The 21,819-nt window shown below is 43.1% G+C and overlaps 1 protein-coding gene across 11 annotated transcripts in view, besides 2 other annotated features; it reads right to left on the bottom strand.

Annotated features, from left to right (window-relative positions):
* Positions 1 to 15,645, bottom strand: part of FBXO25 (F-box protein 25) — a 71,010-nt gene extending 55,365 nt beyond the window's left edge. For 5 of the 11 annotated variants that reach the window (NM_183421.2, NM_183420.2, XM_017013314.2 and 2 more), the window contains exons 1-2: positions 15,537 to 15,645; positions 9,390 to 9,530 (exon numbers count right to left, since the gene is read on the bottom strand). In NM_183421.2, coding sequence (NP_904357.1) covers positions 9,390 to 9,523 — 134 coding nt within the window. In that variant the 5' untranslated portion in view covers positions 9,524 to 9,530; positions 15,537 to 15,645. Of the gene's footprint in view, positions 1 to 9,389; positions 9,531 to 14,913; positions 15,182 to 15,217; positions 15,287 to 15,420 lie in introns of those variants that run through there. The other 6 variants (XM_047421684.1, XM_017013313.3, XM_011534748.4 and 3 more) reach the window with 6 other exon arrangements.
* Positions 15,513 to 15,922: a silencer, noted in NCBI's record as "silent region_18878". NCBI's record gives its function as "represses an Ori minimal core promoter by ATAC-STARR-seq in GM12878 lymphoblastoid cells {active_cell/tissue: GM12878}" and the evidence as "EXISTENCE:reporter gene assay evidence [ECO:0000049][PMID:35858748]".
* Positions 18,024 to 18,083: an enhancer, noted in NCBI's record as "active region_26942". NCBI's record gives its function as "activates an Ori minimal core promoter by ATAC-STARR-seq in GM12878 lymphoblastoid cells {active_cell/tissue: GM12878}" and the evidence as "EXISTENCE:reporter gene assay evidence [ECO:0000049][PMID:35858748]".

Below are 21,819 nucleotides of genomic sequence, written 5' to 3'. Positions count from 1 at the left end.
ACCCACCTTCATGCAGCCATAGAACAAGGATCAACACCAGAAGAGGAACTCTGGCATGGTACTCCCAGCTCAACCACAGGCTTTGTTGTTTTGCCAGGCCACCCACCAGAGCCCGTCTGCTGCTGGGCCCAGTCCAGGATCCACACTGTACTTAGCTGACACACTACCATGGCCCCCCATGCCAGAAGAGTTTGTAGTCTCCTCTCATCACCTTGAAGAGTACCGGTCAATTATTTTGTAGAATGTCCGTCAAATTAGGTTTGTCTGCTGTTTTCTCCTGATTCAGCTTAGGGAAAACCACCACAGATGATGTGCCATTCACACAGCACCACACCACAGGTACCTGCTGCCAATATGATGCCACCTTTGAGTTCTTGGTTGGGGCAGTGTCTGCCAGGTTTCTCCACTGTAAAGTACTGTTCCCTTTGTAATGAATAGCTATTTGGGGGGAGACTTGGCAGATATTCTATTTCTCCTAATTCTTTTACCTGTTAGATTTCACCTTGCTGCATCTGTCAAGGGACTGTGCTTATAACAATTATCATGGTGATTTTCTATTTCCCTTATTCCTTCTATATTTATTAACTGGAATTCTACAAGGAAGAACTGTTCCTTATCCCTCACTTATACATTCATTTATGTATTCATATCAGCCTAAATGGATGGCTATTTCTTTTCTTTTTTAGGTTATAATCCATTACTACTGTTGTCTATCCTGTGGCTCAAACTGCTCCAGCTTTGGCCAATGCAGCACTTTTTGACGGACATCTACCCTTCTGATATCTGACAGGCTCCCATCACTCACCTTTCATTTGCTCTATCCCAGCCCTGGAACCAACCCCTTCCCTGAGGAGCCCTTAGGATCCACCATCTCAGGCTGGCTCTAGTCACTGATGCAGGTGTCACTGCTCTAAGGCCCTCTGTCAACAGACTTAGAAAACAGATGTGTTATACTAACTCACACATGCATAGACCCACATTTCTCTCTCTCTGAAAAAACCAACAGCCCTAGTTCATGCTGACACCTCCAACCCTGATCCAGAACCACAGGATAACTCTAGCACCATCCTTTCTTATTTGTAACTTCTTCCTAGAATATGTACAGTTTTGAGATTGCTAACCCATGCCCCTATGAGAAACAAGTGCACTAACCACAGGTTTTGTCTTTAGCCTTACAGCATCCTGTCAAAACACTGTTTTCCAAAGTTACTGATAAGTCAGCTAATTCCACATCCATTTCACAACGGTTATGGCAGCATTCCCTAACCGTTTTGGCACCAAGGACCAATTTCTTAGAAGACACTTTTTCCACAGACTGGGGCGAGGAGGGGGGATGGTTTCAGGATGAAACTGTGCCACCTCAGATCATCAGGCATTAGTTAGTTAGTCTCAAAAGGAGTGAGCAACCTAGATCATTCACATACACAGTTCACAACAGGGTTCACGCTCCTATGAGAATCTAATGCTGCTGCTGACCTGACAGGAGGCAGAGCTCAGGCAGTAATGCCTGCCTGCCCTCTGCTCACCTCCTGCTCTGTGGCCCAGGTCCTAACAGGCTACGGACTGGTACCGATCCATGGCCTAGGGGTTGGGGACCCCTGGATTATGGGATAAGTTTGTAATACCATTTGATTCATCTGTCACAGTTTGTATCATTTGGGCACTCCCCCCAATAACACATACACAAACATCTATGTTGATTTTAGTGAAATTCTGTGGTGCACAGTTCCATGGGTTTTGACAGGTGCACAGTCAAATCTAACACAGTCCCATCACTCCCCAAACTGCCTCTGACTCTCTTTGTCATCAACTCCTTTTCCCCAACTCTTAACCCCTGGCAACCACTGATTTGTTCGTCTTCCTTATGGTTGTGCTTTTTCTAGCGCATCCTTTAGATAGAATCATACAGTATGGACGCCTTTTAGGTTTGGTTTCTTTCACTAAGCAAAACGAATTTAAGATTCATCCATGTTGTGCGAATTAATAGTTTGTTCCTTTTGACTTTTGAGTGGTATTCTCCTGTAGAGATGTTACCACAATTTGTTTATTCATTCACCAGTTGAAGGATATCTGATTTTGAGTGTTGGCAATTACTGAATAAAACTCTATTAACAGTCACATGCAGGTTTTGTGTGAGCATGAATGTTCACTTACCTTGGGTAAACACCTAGGAGTGAGACTGCCAGCTCCTAAGGCAGTGTAACACAGTAAGAAGCTGCCACACTGTTTTCCAGAGTGGCTGTGCCATTCTGCATTCCCAGTAGCAGGGTTGGAGAGCATATTCCTGCCAGCACTTGGCACTGTCCTTGCCAGCACTGGGATGCTTCGTGATTGTTCTTTCATCTTAGCTACTGACGTAGGCCTCTGCTGGTACCTTATGAGGAAGGTGCACAGCCTTCCAAATCACCTAGGCCCACTGTGGCAGTCTCATTCCCCAGAACATACTGTTATATCTCTAGCTGGTCAGCTGCTTGCCCCAAATGGTACCGTGGCCTCAGGCTAGCTGCAGTGTTTACCTTCCGGATTGCTTGCATTTGTTTCCCTAACAATAAATTAAGTTGGGCATCACATGCTTATTTTTCTCTGCTTATTTGCATGGGCTTCTCTGCAATCCATGCAAGTTGTTTGGTGAAGTACAGGTTCACCGAAACTATTGCCCAATTTTTTACTGGGTTGTTTTCTTATTGTTGAGTTTTAAGTGTTCTTTATTATTCTGGATACTAACCCTTTGTCAGATATGTGACTTACAAATGTGTTCTCTGAGAGTAGAATTTTAAAATTTTGATAAAATGCAAATTATAGATTTTTTTTCTTTTATGGAAAGATGTGCTTTTGGTATCGTATCTAAAAACTCTGCCCAAGATCATGCAGACTTTCCTTTGGGTTTCTTCCATAAGTTCTACAGTTTTACATTCTACATTTAGGTATATGATCCATTTTGAGTTCATTTTTGTATAAAATGTGAGCTGTACAGGTTTTTATTTATTTTTGCATATACACATCTAGTTTTCTAGCCCATTTGCTGACAAGATTACACTTTCTCCATGGAATATATTAAGAGGTGCCTTTACACCACTGTCAAAAACAAACCGACCATATCTGTATGGACTTATCTGGGGTCCTCTGTTGTGTTCCACTGACCTGTGTATCTATCTTTTCGCCAGTACCACATACCACTCTCTTGATTGTGGTGATTTTACATTTTATAGTAAACCTTGTTCTTTTTTCTTTTTGAGATGGAGTTTTGCTCTTGTTGCCCAGGCTGGAGTGCAATGACAGGATCTCTGCTCACCACAACCTTCACCTCCCAGGTTCAAGTGATTCTCATGACTCAGCTTCCTGAGTAGCTGGGATTACAGGCACCTGTCACCACGCTCGGCTAATTTTTTTTTTTTTTGTATTTTTAGTAGAGACGGGGTTTCACCATGTTGGCCGGGCTGGTCTTGAACTCCTGACCTCAGGTGATCCGCCCGCCTTGGCCTCCCAAAGTGTTGGGATTACAGGCCTGCGCCACCACGCCCAGCCGTTGCTCTGACTTTCTAATGATGACTTTAGGTATAAGTTTTTAATATGAAGTTCATCTTTTTTTTCTTTCACAGCTTGTGGTTTTTGTGTGGTAAGCAATCTGCCTACTTTACATTGTGAAAATACTGTTTTCTTCTTAAAACTTTACAGTTTTAGCCTTTTACAGTTCATTCTAAAATCCATCTAACATTAATGCTATGTCCACAGTAAGAGTGAGTAGTAGAGGTTCACTTTTCCTTGCACGTTTATCCAGTTGAAAAAATCTTTCCCTTCCCAATTGAACTACCTTGGTTAAAAAAACTTTGATTTCTCCTGTTGTTGCACTGTGCATCCTAGTGTTTTGTAAATTAACTATTCTTATCTTCTTAGTTTTTTAGAAGTGTAAACAGGGGAAATATAATTTCTTTTGAAAGAGCTCTCTTACTTAATAAAGAAACAAGCCGGGAACGGTGGCTCACGCATGTAATCCCAGCACTTTGGGAGGCTGAGGCGGGTGCATCACCTGAGGTCAAGAGATCAAGACCATTCTGGTCAATATGGTGAAACCCTGTTTCTACTAAAAATACAAAAATTAGCCAGGTGTGGTGGTGGGCGCCTGTAGTCCCAGCTACTCAGGAGGCTGAGGCAGGAGAATTGCTTGAACCCAGGAGGCACAGGTTGCAGTGAGCCGAGATCATGCCACTGCACTCCAGCCTGGGTGACAGAGCAAGACTCCATCTCAAAAAAAAAAAAAAAAAAAAAAAAGAACAAACAAACGAACAAAAGAAAGGAAAGGAAAGGGAAAGGAAAAGAAATAAAATGTCTAATGTTTTTTGCCCACCAAACTAGTTAAAGTAATTACAAAGACAAGGCTGCTGTAAACACCTTGTGCACTGTCCCCAAAACGCAGATGGCATGGGAGCAGACAGCACCTTTACATGAAGACACACATGCAGCCTACACAAGGCACACAGATGCATTTCAGCCATTATTCCCTCATGATGAAACCCTCCCCTTGTGCAGTGTGTAACCTGCACTGACACACACACAACTTGGGTGAAGTGTGAATTAATGGGAATCTGTGTACACTACTATGCAGAGTATAAACTGGTACAAAATTACAGAAGGTAATGTGGCAATACTAGAATTTTAAATATACGATTCTATTAGGACCTTAGATTTCATAAATATTCACACAAGTATGCAAAGAGATATTCACAGATGACCCATGCTATACCACTAGAAATAATGAAAAGTGGGAAATAGCCAAAATGATGTCAGTGGAAGCCTGGACAAATAAGTTATGGTATACCTAAACAATGAAATGCCATCCTTATAATGAATGAGGAACTCAATGCACACTGACATGGAACAACTTCCAGGAAATACAAGTGGAGGAAAAGGATGAACATGCAATGCATTAGGAGAACATGGTGACACCACCTCACTGGAAAGGGAAAGAGGCGCATGACCTGTGACACTGTGCTTCTGTTCCTAGGCACAGACCCAAGGACCCTGTGCAAGACAAGGCGGATTTAGATGTTATATCAGTTAATGCAACTCTACCTTCTAGCTGCTCAGGCCAAAGTCTTAGTCTCACCCCTCGACCCTCTTACTGCACCATACACATTCCATGTGTCAGTTCCACCTGCAGAATACATCCAGGATTTGAGCCCTTCCTCATCCACCGCCTCCTTTCTCTCTAAGCCATGATCATTTCCCATGGGGGTTAACCCAACCCTCTTAAGAACTGGTCCACTTGCTTCTGTCCTGCGTCTTGGAAGTCTGTTTTTAACACGGTAGCCAGAATAATCCTGTTAAAGCATAGGCCTGAACAAATCACTCTTCTACTCAAACCCCTGACTCCCCACATCACTCAGAAAAGCCCAAGTCCTTACTATGACAACAGGTACTTCACAGCTGGGACCCAGTCAGGCTGGGATCTTGTCTCCTACTGGCCCCGCTTCCGGGCTCCCCTTACCCATGCTGGAACCCTGCTGTCCCTGAATATGCCAGATGATGTACTCCTGCCTTGAGGCCTTTGCACTTTTCTTTCCCTGCCGGGGAGGCCCTGCCCTCAGATATCCATTCATCCTGCTCTCATTGCCTAAGGTTTCCTTCCACAGATTGCTTCTTAGAGGCCACTCTCTATAGATCTTCCTCTACCACCACCCATCCTTAGCATTTCTTATCTCCCACATACTATCACACTTACTACACTGCGGAACTCATCTTGTCCACTGCCTATCTGTTTCACCAGAATGCAAGCTCCATCAGAAATGGGTTTTCATGTTTCATTTATTGCTGTATCCTGACACCACAGCACATAGTAAATCCTTAATATATTGTGGACTAAACAGGTGTAACAGTATGTGTAATAATAAGACCAGAGACATCTCTAAGTCTGGCTCCTGGGTAGATTTTATCTACCCAACAAAGGAGTAGAGGTAGGACTCCGGCCCATTCCATTTCCAAGGAAACCCTTTCTGGAGGGGTGGGGAAAGCTGTGTCCTTCCCATCAAGAGCAAAGAAAAGCCACTACCACTCATGTAACAAAAATCCCTATGACTCTACCCCTGGGGGTAATCAACAGGCAAAGGGCAACACACTTAACTGTTCCCTGTGAGATAATTAACAAAAATAAGCCTCTGTTCGGAATATCTCAGGTGTTCTGGACAAAAAATAAAGATTCAGGATAAAGTCAATGAAGATGAAAATTTTAAATCAACCTAAGGTTCTGAGAAAAAGTCTGATGGCTCTGGATTTCCTGGTGACACAAGAGATCCGGTTGTTTTGAAAAGATGGGGAAGGAGTATGTAGGGAGCCGAACATCAGAGTAGAGTGAAGGAGTTTGAAATATTGATAACACAAAGAGGAGTAGAGCAGGCCAACCAAGCAAACACAGTGGGGCTGTGGGCCGCATGGGGGCCCTACCGGCACATAGCAGATGACCAAGAAACATCAGTTTACAGAATGAGTGGAAGAATAAATGAGTGAGCAAGTGAAAAAAGCAAATAAATGAGTGGGTGAACAAGGAGGAGCAAGCAATGGGAGTCTCTGCCAAGACTGAGCTGAATGCGTTATGTTTGACTACACACTCCCTTGTCAAATGTCAACTTCATAAAAGACAAGGAACAACTTCTTATATATCCTCAACAGCGCCTATAGTTATACTGAAATAACTATAGGCAATTACAGTGCCCATAATAACACTGAAATCTGATGGAAAAGGTTAGAAATTCTTAAAGATATATAGTATTTAGACACTCTTCTTCAGTATCTTTCCTTTATAGGAATCATACAATTTCTGTCATCAAACATAAAACTGAGTGGCAGAAACACTACGCTGGAGAGAAGACCCAGCCAGATTATTTACTTACACCATTTCCCCAGCTGAACCCTCAGAGTCCTTCTCAGGGCCACCCTTTTGGCTAGTCCAATCAATATGTGACTCACTCTTTTACTGATCCTGACCCTCTGTCCAGCTGTGCAGACATCACCATAGGCAGCACTCAACATTTCTCACCTGTCTACTGAAACCCTTAACTGGCTGTCCTCTCTTCAATCTGGACCCCAGCCGACCTACCCTCTATTCTGAATCAACAGCCTAATAAAAGGCTTACTTAGGTCAGGGTTAAGATGAATCCTCTGTCTATCAAACTATGTTTAAACCTCAGTAATATCATGAATGTTGCTTGAAAGAGCAGCTTTCAGAGTATGAACTGGCTGGCTGCCCCCAGATCAACCATGTTGAATTGCTTAATTTCTTCCCTATGTTCTCTAAACTTTGAATACTAAAATGAGTTGAAAAGTAAGCAGAAGGATACTAAAGGCCTATTTTCACGCACGTTCACAAAAAAGAAAATTAACAAAGTTACGTAGAATCTTGATTACCTAAATTATTTTTACTATAGTTCTTTTTCTAAGTTTTGAAAGCCCACCTTAAATCAAAGAATTAGGAGTACTATGTTTCTCAAAGACATGTGGGGGAAAGAGAAGGCCATTTATATAGTGATTTTAAATGGTGATTACATATGGTCTTATCTTTTTAAAATCAATTTTAGGTTCAAAGTTAAATGGTTTTTCCTTCCAGAGAAAGGATACATTAAACATCTGCTGCAGTTTCAGGTCACCAACAGCCTCTACCCACAGGTTTGGATTTCCATTTTGGTAGGAACGGACAAAAGTCAGAGGAAGATGAACGAAATGGCAGAGTAGGAAGCAGGGCGGGGGATCCCAGTACTGCAAAGCAACTAGGTGGGGTAAAAGGTGGTGCTGACTAGTTCTCGCTCACTGTGCCCTACAGAGGGTACCCAGCGTTGCTGTCATAAAACCTTTTTGCGCAGGGATGCTTGTGTTAGCAGCCATTGGTTCAAAGGGGCGGATCTGTAGGTAAGTTTGGGCGAAGGGGAAAGGGAGACAGAGGGGTAGCCAGTTATGCAAAGAAAACATATCTCGACTGTATTCTCTAATTTTATGTGTGCAGCGGAAAAAAAAACAATTCTCAGACATTTAAAATGTGTTTGAGATGATGGGAAAAAGAATACATGAGGGAAAAAAACAAATTCCCACAAATTCCTCACCGCAGATGCAGCAGTAACACTGCACTTCAAGCATTACAGCTTTTTTTAAATTGACATTCTGTAATATATCTCCCCATCCTAAAATCCACATTTAATAGTGGCTACTGGGAGTAAATGTGAGACACCTGACATTTCTAGATATAGTCAACCATCTTTAAATTTTAAAAAAACTGCCATAAAAATTATAAGATAGTAAAAATGACCTAGAAAATTCATAACTGTATAACATTATGCAATACCAACAGCATAATTACAAGCTTTAAATAAGTTTTACAGCTATCAACATTAAATACATCTTAGCGTGGCAGAGAACTGCTACAATATAAGTTTAAAAATATTATGTGTTATCCTCACTGTAACTAAAATGGAAAATTAATTTCTGCTTCAAATACTGCAAAAACCAGTCTCTGGCCTAAAGTTACTGAACTTCTGTCAGAAAAACATATGGCCCATCAAGCACACAGTTGATAATTACACAAATGTAAAATAATATACAATAAATGACTAGACCCATGACATTCTAGAGGAGGCTATCTCAAGACCTTCCTAGCCCTCCAAATTCTCAAACACCACTGTGGTAGACACTGTAGTCATCATACAATAGCCACCTACCCTGGTACTGTGCTCATGCAGTCTCTGGTTTTTATCTGGACACATGGCTGGGCCACAACCCCCAGCATCCCTTGCGCTAGTGCTCTAGCCAACAAGGTGTGGGCAACGTGATGCATGTAACTTTTGGGCTGTGCCACTGAAACACAGGTCGTGTCTCACCAACCCCACCTACCCTTCGGCCTGAGCGCAAATGTAGCAGGTAATACACCGTTTTGGACCATGCAGGTAAGGCTGCACTCTTGGGATGGCAGAGCGACAAGACAGACTGTGCTTGGCCCCTTGACAATGTTACGAGCAAAGTCATCATGCCAACTCAGGCTTTCAAGGGAGAAAAACTGATTTGTCTTGTGTAAGCCACTATTACTACATTTCTGATATATGCCACCAAAACTGTGCATTTCAATTTCCTCAGGTTCCTCAGCTATAATGTGGGATTAAAAATAATACCTCTCTCCCAATTATTGTGAGGATTAAATGTTTTAAATTAAAAAAAAAAAGACGAAAGCATCTGTGTATGAATATTAGGCAATCTACTAGCCTCATTTTTTAGCTAAACAACTTGTCTCTTCACACCAGCCTTCTGGGTGGGCAAGTCTCAAAAGTTATGGAGCTTTGCAGGGACTTGAAAAATAGGTAAGGCCATACATGCTAAACTGGCAAATGGCATGGTTCTGCTCAGCTGTAACTTACATGCTGTGACTGATGTTACAACGGTTATTCTCTCTTTCAAGTTTCTGACTACAAGATTCACATCTCTTCCAGCCATCTTCTGTCTTAATCCAACTCCATCCAGGAGATCTCCAGTCCTGACCCAAAAATGGCATAGTTCTCCTATGAAAAAGTTAAATTATGTTAAAAAGTATATATAATTCATAAAAGTTTCTTTTCACTTAGAACATTTATTAATTTTAAAGATTAAAGTTCTTAACATTTAAATGTCTGCTCATTAATTAAACGTTGGCTCGACATTGGTGACAGTGACAATAACACAGTACTGTGTACTAAAGTGATCAAATGGGGTAAGTAAACGTGGTTTTACTGGCCTAATACTGCGTATCCCATGAAAGGTTTACCAGAGGTGACATTCTAGCTCATACCTGAAAAACAAGCAGGGGTCAGGGAGTGTGGAATAGGGAATATTATTCCAAACAAGTATTCTCTCTTTGCCAGAAGTTAGAAGCAACCGAAAATGAAATGTATTCATGTTCAGCAACTCTAAGTAGTTCAGTTTGGTTGAAGCTTAGAATAGATGAGAGAGAGTGGGCCAGAATTAAGGATGGAGAAGTCATTTAAGGCTGGATCAAGTTAGAGGAGTTGGATGCTATTCTGAGGGCAATGAGGGGCCAAAAAAGGGAAGTAAGCAGGTAAGTGATTCAATCAGATTTGTGGTTTACAAAGAACTCAGTATCACAGTGGGAGAAGGTATGGGGTGAGGGTCACCTGGAGGAAAGTAGTTGGGACTGGAGGCTTCTGAATGTTGACCTTTAAAAGGTGAGAGTATACAGTGGCAAAATAAACAGAAGAGCAGAGACTGCAGAAATATTTAGGAAACAGAGTCAAACAGTACTTGAAGACTGTCTGGAAACGTGAGGAGGAAATCAAGGAAGTTATCTAGATTTTGTTTTGTAGCCCCTGGATCTGGGATAAGACATACAGAAGGAACAGCAGGGTTTTATTAGGAAAGGAGAGATAAGGGATATTAATTTCAGCTTAGGACATGCCTGTTCAGTTTGAAATACCAGACTCCAGGTATAAAAATTATGACTTAAAAAATGATGCAACTTCGTGATTAACTTCATGACGCTCACAATTTGATAAGAGTGAGACTTCAAATGCTAGTTCTTCCCACTGACTTGATTTCTGCTCCTCTTGATCAGTGGTTTTCAACTACTGCTGTGCATTAACATCACAGGAAGCTTTTTAAACATTCAAGTGCTTAGTCCCATCTTAGTTCAGTTAAATATGAATATTTGGGGGTGAAGGCTAAGTTTAAGTAGTTTTTAAAGGTCCACAGGTGATTCTCATACACAGTGAGACTGTGCATGAGGCTAAAAACCACCTCAGATGCTCACACTGCTGATTCAAAATGTCACATCCCAGAAAGGCTCCCTGACTCCCCGTCCAAACAGCGCCCTTCTGCTGCCTCAACCCCCTCCCTACCAGTCTAAGCCATTATCTAGTGCCTTCATAGTTGTAAGGGCTGTCTGAAATGATTAGCGTGTTTATCATCTGTTTTCCTCCAAGAAAATGCAATGTCTTGTTCAGGTCCGTATTCCATTACCTTGAACAATGCCAGGAAAACAACAGGAGCTCTATAAGTATTTATTTACTGAATGAATAAATATATACATCCATGGTTCAGAAGAGAGTTAGACTAGAGAGAAAGAGGAAAATCATGAGCATTCAGACACTAATCAAAACCACACAAATAATATCACAGAATATGTCGAGAGGGAAATCAAGAGAGCCAAGAAAAAAACCCTAAGAAACATCACCATTTAAGGGATCGGCAGATATAAGCCAAGAAGAAAAACTGAAAAGGAAGAGCCAAAAAGGTAGAGGGAGAAGTAGGAAGTCAGGAGAAAAATGTATTTCAGGAAAGAAATGGTCGACAGAGACGAAAATGTTATAAAAATGCCAAGCATGGCAAGAGTTGAAAATATACGTTGAATTTAGCTACAGAAAGGTAGCTGAATTACTCAAGCAAAAGTGGTTTCTGTAATGTATTACTTTAATTTCACGTCCCGAACAGACTTGAGTATTTTATAATATAGAATATTTATATCGTAGAGAAAAATGTAGAATATTTACATCATGGAGAATAAATGAGAGATGAACATCTCCAAACACCACCTCCCAACTATATTTAGTATAATTAACAAAAAACAAGCTATTAAATGGGCACTTATACAATCCTAGAAGATACAGAAAAAAAAGGAAGGAAATTACATAGACTTCAACAATATTCCTGGATCAACCACAAATGCTTAATTCTTGACTGGTGTAGGAAATGATGAAGTAATTATTCTTTACACGAAGAAAATCTCAAACCTTGCTAAACTGACTTATAGTCAGAACATGTCTTTTTCAGTCACATAATGATTAATTTAAATTCTTGCTTTAGAAAATACTTTATTCCTTAAATTTCAGCACAATTTTGATAAACTTTGTCTCACAGAACTGCTTCACAACTACTGAACATCCTAAAATGCAAAACTCAATGCCCATGTTCAGTCGACCTAAAGTTATCTAAAACTGTCTCTAATAGCATACAGCTGATTTTATGATTTTCAAGAACATTCCCACCAAAGGCAGCAAAGACCATGAAGTAGCAGATGACTGAAGTGGCACCTTGAGTCTCATAAAACACATTCAACAGAAAATGGCTGCTAGGAACATCTCTGATAATTATCAAATTATCTCTCAATATCAACTTGAAACTGTGGATTCAGAAATCTATATTAAAAAAAAAAATCAAGTGGATAATCCTGAAAAATATTGCTAACAGACCAAATACAGGATTACTTCAACGACAAACATTTGAGCACCAACTACATGTTATTATGCTAGATGTTCCTGCCCTCAAAAGTGTGCAATTTAGCTAAGGAACTAAAAAAGAACAATAGCAAAACACACACAAATTCCATACAAGTGTAATATAATAAAGTGTGTTTACATGTAGATATGTGAGTGTGCATGTATACATACATACAGATATGTCCACAATCTTGTAACTTGTGGTAAAGAGAGAATAAAGTTAATTTGAGCAGAAAGCAAATCAGCTGGGAAAGCTCTGACTAGAAACTAGGACTCGATCTTCGCCCTGAAGCATGGTTAGATCTTAAATGAATGGAGAGGCAAGGCAAAAAATATCAATCATGGGAATGGTGGGTGAATAAGTATAAAGGGCAAAATGTGTGCCACAGTTTGAGAAAAATAAGCAGAAAAGATGGGATAAAATGGAGAAAGTTTATCAGAGGACTGGTACATAAGCGACTAGAAGCCAGGTCATAGAAGAATATCAAAGGTGTTTAGACTTTATTCTGTCAGTAATTAAACGTTTTTCAGCAACAGATCAGCGTGAGCAGTGTTGTTTTGAGAATAATAATTTTCTAGGGCTTGTAGGATAGATCAAATGAAAAACATGGAGACAGAAAAAAACAACTAGGCAACAAATATCTTGCCAACAGAACCTTATCTGGATGACTGTCCTATGTACATCCCGGTATCCTCAGCTGAAAAAATATTTTAAAACTTGATGACACACAAATATTGTACTTACCTATTTAGACACTATGCCCACTCATCATTTAATACACTTATCTTCTAGTTTCACAATCTTTATAACATTTACATAAAGAGCCTGCCTACTGTTTCCATTAATATAACCAATTCTTTTACAACTACCTAAACTCTACAGATAATTCATTTTGGCAACTCAGTGAAAAATGAATAGTTTGGTCTGAATTTCTCAGCTGATAAGTTTGATTTTTTAAGGGTTGAAAGGAGTGAAATGCAGCCATGGAAATAAAAAAATAGTCCATGCCCAAAGGCTTATTTTCAACACAGAGGAAAAGATTTGTTTCTCTGAAGATGTGTGTGCTTCACAGATTTGTTATGGTATGCTCTATGGATCACAATGAAGTTTTTCTTAAAGCATAATCTATACAGCTCATGAACTAAAGCACAAACTCTGGATGCAGATTAAAAACAACACCACCAACAAAAAAAGACAAGTTGCAATTTAAAACGTCTGGGGTCTGGATCTCAAGTTTTCAAAAATACTCCCAAACTGAGGCTTCTGAGTTTGCAAATCAGAAAACAATGCTACTAAAGTTTTATAGAATGATGATGACCCACGGCTTTCAATGGGAATGTATTTGTTCAGCTAAAAAATGTGAATTGCTAGAGCTTTATACGCTTATTTTAATTAAAATTACCTTTATTTTGGGAATTTACAAACACAAAAAAACTAGAAATTACTCCTGAAAATTATTAAACTTTTAAGAGCAAGCACTCAAAGGGTGTAGCTTGTATAATTTGCAAATTTTAAGCACATTTTATGCCAACTTATTTCAGACAGCCTACAATGATTAACTATTTAAAATCTTCCCTTAATTTCTATTTCATGTGGTAGGACACGTGGGTGGGATACTTCAGTAGAAAAGGACTTCATGAAGTTCATTTGCTGGTGGAAACTCTTGGCATGAGAGACTCAGAACAAAAAAAAATGTCTTTCCTTCAACAAGCATATTTTTTCTTAACAATAATAATGGCAAACATTTATTAGAGCTTACCATAGGCTACGCATTACTCTAAACAATCTACATATGTTGTCTCATTTAATCCTCACACTGTCCTCCAAGGTAGAAAACATTATTCTTGTTTTACAAGTTTCATTATGTATTTTAAAGATGAAGACACTGAGGCAAAGAGTTCAGTGGAGCTGGGATTCAAAATGATGGAGTCTCACTCCAGGATCCATGCTCCTAACCACTATGTTTATAATAGCAGTTCCTGAAAACCCTATTAAAACAGATGCCATTAAATTATAAGCTTTTTAACTTTTTTTTTTTTTACCGTCTATTACAGATCACTAATATGATTTCAAGTAATGATGAACCTAAATACAAAGGCACTAAAACAAGGAATACAACACAGGAAAGAAAACTCCAATCCATCTTAAAAGACCACATGTGTTTCCCTATTTGTTTTGCTTATAAGTGTGGACAAATTTGATCCAGAAAGGACATTTTAAAAAATGGCAAACTGAGGGCTGAGAGTCAGAAATAAGTTGTACTCTAAGGACTTACAGATAATCACAGATTCCTCATGGGAAAGGTAAACACGTAAAGACGAGGAGAAAACAGAATATGAAAGAGTAAACGTCTTTTCTGATTAGGGCCGGATGGTAAGGATTTGGAGGCAGCAAGAGACAGCTTCATAAGGGAAGAAATGGTTCTCTAGATTCTTTAGTCTTCAAAATGAGTTTGAATAGGCCCAAGGACAGAGGTGGAATCTAATTGAGAAAAAGGTCAAATTGAGCTTACTGTGAGGGGAAGGATGCAAAATTAGTGTCTGCTGCAAGAAAAATAAGCATGGAAAGAAATTAAGGGAGGAGACAGAGACAGAGCCAGAGCCACAGACCAGGAGTAGGGAAAAAAAGGTAAGCAGCAGACGGGGCAGAGTGGCCTGGAGGAATGAGGGGTCACACCTAGCAGGTGCCCACCGGCGAAGAGGCAAGGACCGAGCCCGGAGGGCAAACGCCGGCAGGAGTCGTCCCCGAAACACCTTGCCCAGCGAGGCGGACACAAGCTCGGGCCTGCAAGACGGCCCAGGAGGGTGGGGGCGGGAAGGGGTCGCAGAAGGTGGGCAGGGGAAGCGGCTGAGGACGCGCGGTGCACCTGTGGGCGGCCCCCGTGCCCACCCGACTCGCCCGCAGCTCCCTGAATGAACCCTCCACACCCGCCGGCCGCCCCCAGACCCCACCTGACGCGCCCGCGGCCCATCGTCCCTACCTGACGCGCCCGCGGACCCAGACTTCAGCAGACGCGCACGCGGCAATCCCGTCCCCACCTGACGCGCCCGCGACAACCCCGTCCCCACCTGACGCGCCCGAGGCCCCCGGTCCCCACCTGACCCTCCCACAGGCCCCGTCCCCACCTGACGCGCTCGCGACCCCATGTCTTCCCCTGACGCGCCCGCCGCCCCCGGTCTTCACCTGACTCGCCCGTGGCCCGTCGTCCCCACCTGACGCGCCCGCGAGCCCCAATCTTCACCTAACGCGCCTGCGGCGCCAAGTCTTCACCTGACGCGCCCGCTGCACCCCGCACCTACCTAGCGCGCCTGCGGCCCCCAGTCTTCACCTGACGCGCCCGCGTCCCCCAGTGCCCAACGGGCGCGCCGGCCACCTGGGCCCGCACCTGACGGCGACCAGGCGGTTATTGCCGGAAGTGGGCCGCCGCCTCCCGGCGCGCCTCAGGGAAGCCCCGCCCCTGGCCATGCTGATTGGCCGGCGCGGATCCGCGTGGCAATGTTGCTGCCTGGTCCTGTCGCCCGCAGCGTGCGCCTGCGTAGTAGGCACTGCCCCTCCGTCCGCGCGCGTCCAGAGTGCCGGGCGTGGAGGCGTGGGGGCGTGGGGGCGTGGGGTGGGGCTCGGGTGCGCAGGGACGGGCGCGGTCAGTGCCTGAGATCCCTGCGATCGCTGGGAGATGACGGTGAAGACCTGAGATTTAGGCCTGCGCGGCGGGTGACGACGCCGGTCCGGGTCTTCACGGGAGGACGCTGGCCGGGGCCTTCAGGTGTTCTCGTGGCCTGAGGACGCGCGTCCCTGAGAATGTGCGTGCCCGCGCCGCGCGGGTCCCACAGGAGCCTGGGCAGCCCCGCCGCCGCATTTCCACCCTGCGGCCGTATTTCCACCCGCTGGGCGCCAAGCCCGGGATGACTGCACTCTAGGGCATCACTGCGCGCTCACACTCAGCATTCGGGCACAAGCACGTTCTCTTTATAAACAGTTTCGAATCTTGTCGAATCTTTCTAGAAGGTTGAAATGCCCTGGAGGAGCAGCGTGAATAGTTTTTTCCAATTAGGAAAAAAGAATGTGGGGCGGCTGGAGGGAGAGAGGCAGGCCGAGAAGGCCAGGTGGGTCCAGGAGCCGCAGCCCCCGTGCCTCAGTTTCCGCCTAGAAACATGGAGGTGGCGGTGCACGCTACAGGATTTCCATAAGAACAAATGAGTTAGCGTGTGCAAAACATTTAAAACAGTGTCTGGTGTGTAGCAAGCAAATATGAGTATTAGTCTTTTCCTTGTTAAAATGTGTGCATCTACATGTGGTGCACATTACAGGAAGTGTATAGTATGGATTCATATTTTGGAAAAGTAATTTTAGAAGTTATTTCTGAAGTGCTTATTATAATAGTGTTTCTTGACCACATGCTTTTAAATAATGTGAAGGCAATGAAGTAGGCAATATTGCTTGCACATCCCCAATTTAAACACCTGTCTGTCCCTCCTTCCCTCTCTCCGTTCTTTTCTTCCTTTCCCTCTCTCTTTATTCCTTCCTTCATTCCCTTCAAGGTTGCGGATTATTCTATTATATAAATGTATCAATTTATTAGAATAGTTTCTATGATGTCTATGATAGGTTTTAAATTGTTTGCAATAGTTTGCCATTATAAATAATGCCCAGTAGCGCTGTGGTCTGATTTAACTTGTGAAGGTATATTTCCAAATAAATCGCTATGATTGGATTGTTGTGTAAAGCAAAAAGTGTCTGAGGCAGATCACAACTGATTTAGAGGTTTATTCTGCCAAAATCGTGGACGTGTCTGGGGAAAAAGAAACACAGGTTACAGTAGGATTTTTGGCCTGTACTTTTTTCCAAATATTTAAGGGAAAAGCGCCGGTAGGAGGGGAAAGAGGGGAGAGTAGGCTATGAGGCAAGTGGTCACATTTTTGTGAGGCTCTGATTAGAGTACAGCAAATCTACATTTCACATGTGAAAAGAAAGGTATGGGGGAGGGTTATGCATCTGTCTCATACTCAGTAGATCTACATTTCACATAAGATAAAGTAAGCTTTTGGGAACAAAAAGAAGACTGCGTGTGTGTGTGTGTGTGTGTGTGTGTGTGTGTGTGTGTGTTTTGCCAATATTAACTTTTCCCTTTGGCATAGTAAGTTTGGAGGCCTGAAATTTTATTTTTCTTTCACTGATGTGTCAAGGTTAACTGCATATGGAATACTAGTAGAAATTGCCAAGCCAAGACCCCACCACCACAATGGGGGACATAGTAATATTAAATTTAGCCCAATTGGCTAGCATCCTCACAATTCCTAGTGAAAGAATTCCTGGATGGATGGTAAAGAGGTAAACAAACTGCAGAAACTCACAAAGCAACAAAAGAAGTCCACAGAGTAAGAGCAGGAATTCAGAGAGTAACCACAGAGAGATCCACAGAGTAACAGCAGAACCCACAGTGTAACATCAGAGCCCACAGAGTAACAGCAGGACCCACAGAATAATAGCAGGCACCCACAGAGTAACATCAGAACCCATAGTGTGATAGCAGAGCCCAAAGAGTAACAGCAGAGCCCACAAAGTAACGTCAGAACCCACAGAGTAACAGCAGAGCCCACAGAGTAACGTCAGAACCCACAGAGTAACAGCAGAGCCCACAGAGTAATGTCAAGAGCATATTCATGGTCTTGGGTCTTCTTTGTGTGTCCTTTCTACCAGGACTGGGCTTAGCTCTGTGCTTGTGAAGAGTAACCCACTCAGTGCCCTCGGGAATTTCACCACTGGAGGAGGAGAAAAACCCCAGAGGGGCGGGGAGAAATGCTTTTCAAAACACATGGTGCAGCTGGAGATTGTGGAGCAGTTGCCCGGGCAGAAGGCTCGGCAGGGGGAATTAGTGACCAGTAGGGAGGTGCCTCCCTAACCACAGAGATTTTTTGGCAATCAACTTGTTGAAAAATCATGTTTTAAAATTTTCTTTAAGTCAAACCCTACAGAACCTAAGGAGCTGGCTCCTCCTGGCAGGAAGCTGGGAGAGTGCTGGTCACAGTGCACCAGGTGCCCCCTGCCTCACAGGGGCTTAGGGTGGTGGTGAGCACAGGGGTCCCACGCTTCTCCAATGCACACCACACAGTCGTCTCCTCTGACCTTCCCAAATGCTGCACGGACAAGTGTATGTAGTCCCTAACTCTCAGGACAATGTAGACTTGGTATACCTTCGGGCACGGGGAATCCCATCCTTCTTCCTGTTCCTGCCGCTCTGAAGCATGTGGTGTATGTTTAATGGGGATTTTACACAATATGGGAAGACCACTTCTGCTTTCTATGCAGTGATAATACTGCAATAAGAAAAAATGAACCAAGCCACCAAAACAAAACAGTACCACCTGATGCAGAACTAGGAGGGAAACACAGCAGTGTCTCAGAGCTAATGCAGCAGCCAGGCACCACGACAGTGTCATGGGTACAAGGAGGAGGTGTCTCAGAGCTAATGCTCTGTGCTGACAGCAGCCAGGCACCACGACGGTGCCATGGGTACAAGGAGGAGGTGCCTGGTTTTCAGGAGCTTGCCATCTGAACAGACCCAAGGTGGCAAACACACAGTGAGAAAATGGGGCCATGAGTGCTGTAATTACCTACAGAATGTTTAGGGGGACTGGGAGCAAAAACAATCCCCTCTTTCAGAAACCAATCCTGGAAGGTGCTGGAAGGTTGTACTAGCTGTGAAAATCAGACGCCAGCAGGCAGCTATCGTGAGACCAAACGCAGTACTCAGCTCAGGCAAGCCGGTTTGCTTATTTATGTCAAATTTCTCAGTCTTGGGTCTCCTTATCTTTTAAATAAGGAGTTAGAATAGAATTTGAGGGCTGTTCACTCAGGCATCCATGGTGGCTGCAGCATAAGGAGTGTGTGGTGTCAGGATGGGAAGGGCAACATGGAGACTGCATGGCCATTGACGTCTGAAAGTCTCTGGTTGCCAAAAAGAATCTATGTACAACAGCATTCATCCTGACAGCAGCCAACAGGCAGCCTAGACCTGGCATGCCACAGCTCCTCTAGGCTCTGAACCCCTCTCAGCTGAGCCTGGTAGATGCCAGCTGACCGGCTGCAGCCCCTGAGTAGAGGTTGGCTGTCCTAGCAATAGCGTAGGGCGGGGGCACAGCAGACATGGGACCATCATCTAGATTCCTAGACGTGCAACTTCAAGTGAGTACATAACCTCCTGAGCCCCAGCTCTCACCTGAAAGCTGAGTTAGGCGCACACACAGGAAGGCAGAGATGGGTCCAGGGCTGGGCTTCTGGTTCCTCTACTCAAACTCTGCTGCTCCCTGCCCCTCTGCCATCCCTGCAAGCTCCTCACTGACCATGCTTGTCTCAAGCGTTCTCTCTTCCTCCTGACCTCCTGGGGACTTCATAAACCCAGTATCTTTTTAAAATAATCTATTATTTTAGGCTCAGGGGTACATGTACAGGTTTGCTATACAGGTAAACTCATGTCTGGGGGTTTGTTGTACAGATTATTTCATCACCCTACATGTACAGGTTTGCTATACAGGTAAACTCATGTCTGGGGGTTTGTTGTACAGATTATTTCATCACCCTACATGTACAGGTTTGCTATACAGGTAAACTCATGTCTGGGGGTTTGTTGTACAGATTATTTCATCACCCTACATGTACAGGTTTGCTATACAGGTAAACTCATGTCTGGGGGTTTGTTGTACAGATTATTTCATCACCCTACATGTACAGGTTTGCTATACAGGTAAACTCATGTCTGGGGGGTTTGTTGTACAGATTATTTCATCACCCTACATGTACAGGTTTGCTATACAGGTAAACTCATGTCTGGGGGGTTTGTTGTACAGATTATTTCATCACCCTACATGTACAGGTTTGCTATACAGGTAAACTCATGTCTGGGGGGTTTGTTGTACAGATTATTTCATCACCCTACATGTACAGGTTTGCTATACAGGTAAACTCATGTCTGGGGGGTTTGTTGTACAGATTATTTCATCACCCTACATGTACAGGTTTGCTATGTAGGTAAACTCATGTCTGGGGGGTTTGTTGTACAGATTATTTCATCACCCAGGTATTAGCCTAGTACCCAAGAGATAGTCTTTCTGATCCTCTCCCTCCTCCCACCCTCCAGCCTCAAGTAGGCCCAAGTATGTGTTGTTCCCCTCTGTGTGTCCATGTGTTCTCATAATTTAGGATATGAGGATAATGGCCTCCAGTCCCATCTATGTTCCTGCAGAAAACAGGATCTCATTCTTTTTTATGGCTGCATAGTATTCCATGGTGTATACGTACCACTTATTTTTTTTTATCCAGTCTATCATTTTTGGGCAATAGATTGATTCCTTGTCTTTGCTATTATGAACAGAGTAGTGTAGGCTTATAGTCCCGGCTACTCAGGAGGCTGAGGTGGGAGTGTTGCTTGAGCCCATGAGGCGGAGGGTGCAGTGAGCTGCGGATTGCAATGAACAAACACGTGCATGCATCTTTACTGTAGAACAATTTCTATTCCTCTGTGTATGTACCCGGTAACGGGATTGCTGAGTGGAATGGTAATTCTTTTAGCTCTCTGAGGAATCACGATACGGCTTTCCACAGTGGTTGAACTAATTTACACTCCTATCATCAGCATATAAGTGTTCCCTTTTCTCTGCAACCTTGCCAGCATCTGTTATTATTTGACTTTTTAGTAATAGCTATTCCGACTGGTGTGAGATGGTATCTCATGATGGTTTCAATTTGCATTTCTCTAATGATCATTGATATTGAACTTTTTAAAATGTGCTTGTTAGCCACATGTATGTCTTCTTTTGAAAAGCATATGTTCGTGTCCTTTGTTCACTTTTTAATGGGGCTGTTTGGTTTTTTTCTTGTAAATTTAGTTCCCTATGGATGCTGGATATTAGACCTTTGTCAGATACATAGTTTGCAAATATTTTATCCCATTCCATAGATGATCTGTTTTCTCTGCTGATAGTTTCTTTTGCTGTGCAGAAGCTCTTAAGTTTAATCAGGTCCCGTTTGTCAATTTTTGCTTTTGTTGCTATTGCTTTTGGTGTGTTCGTCATGAAATATTTGCCCTTTCCAGTGTCCACGACGGTATTGCCTAGATTGTCTTCCAGGAAACTCAGCACCTTATGACTCGTTTCAGTTATTTAAATCTTAGCCCAGCCCTGCTCTCTACTTAAAACAAAACAAACAAACATAAAAAACTCAGTTCCCCATGGAGACTGAAAGCCCTCTGAAGGCTGAGATGGAAGTCTTATACTTTTTGGAGCCTTGAGTGTCCACCTCTAACTGTGGAGAAGGAATGGAAAGAGAGGTGCAACAGACGGGCTGCACATCTAGCTGGAAATGTGCAATCCAAAGGGCACGACTTTTGCTGAAACGCCGGGAGTGGGCCAAGGCCGCAAAGTCAGTCAGATGTGGTATCAGTGTTTGCTCATTGTGTTAATGATTATTTCCATGGTGACATGGCCTTTTTTTTCTCTGTTGCCTTACACGAGATCCAAGCAATGAGACACACACAGCCCAAGCAGGGATGGCAGAACTCAGACCCGGACCAAACTCCTGGCTGCAATT

The sequence above is a fragment of the Homo sapiens genome, chromosome 8 (genome assembly GCF_000001405.40).
Source record: "Homo sapiens chromosome 8, GRCh38.p14 Primary Assembly".
Classification (NCBI taxonomy): domain Eukaryota; kingdom Metazoa; phylum Chordata; class Mammalia; order Primates; family Hominidae; genus Homo; species Homo sapiens.
The sequence above is the reverse complement of the archived record's forward strand: the minus strand, read 5'-3'. Positions and strand labels throughout refer to the sequence as shown.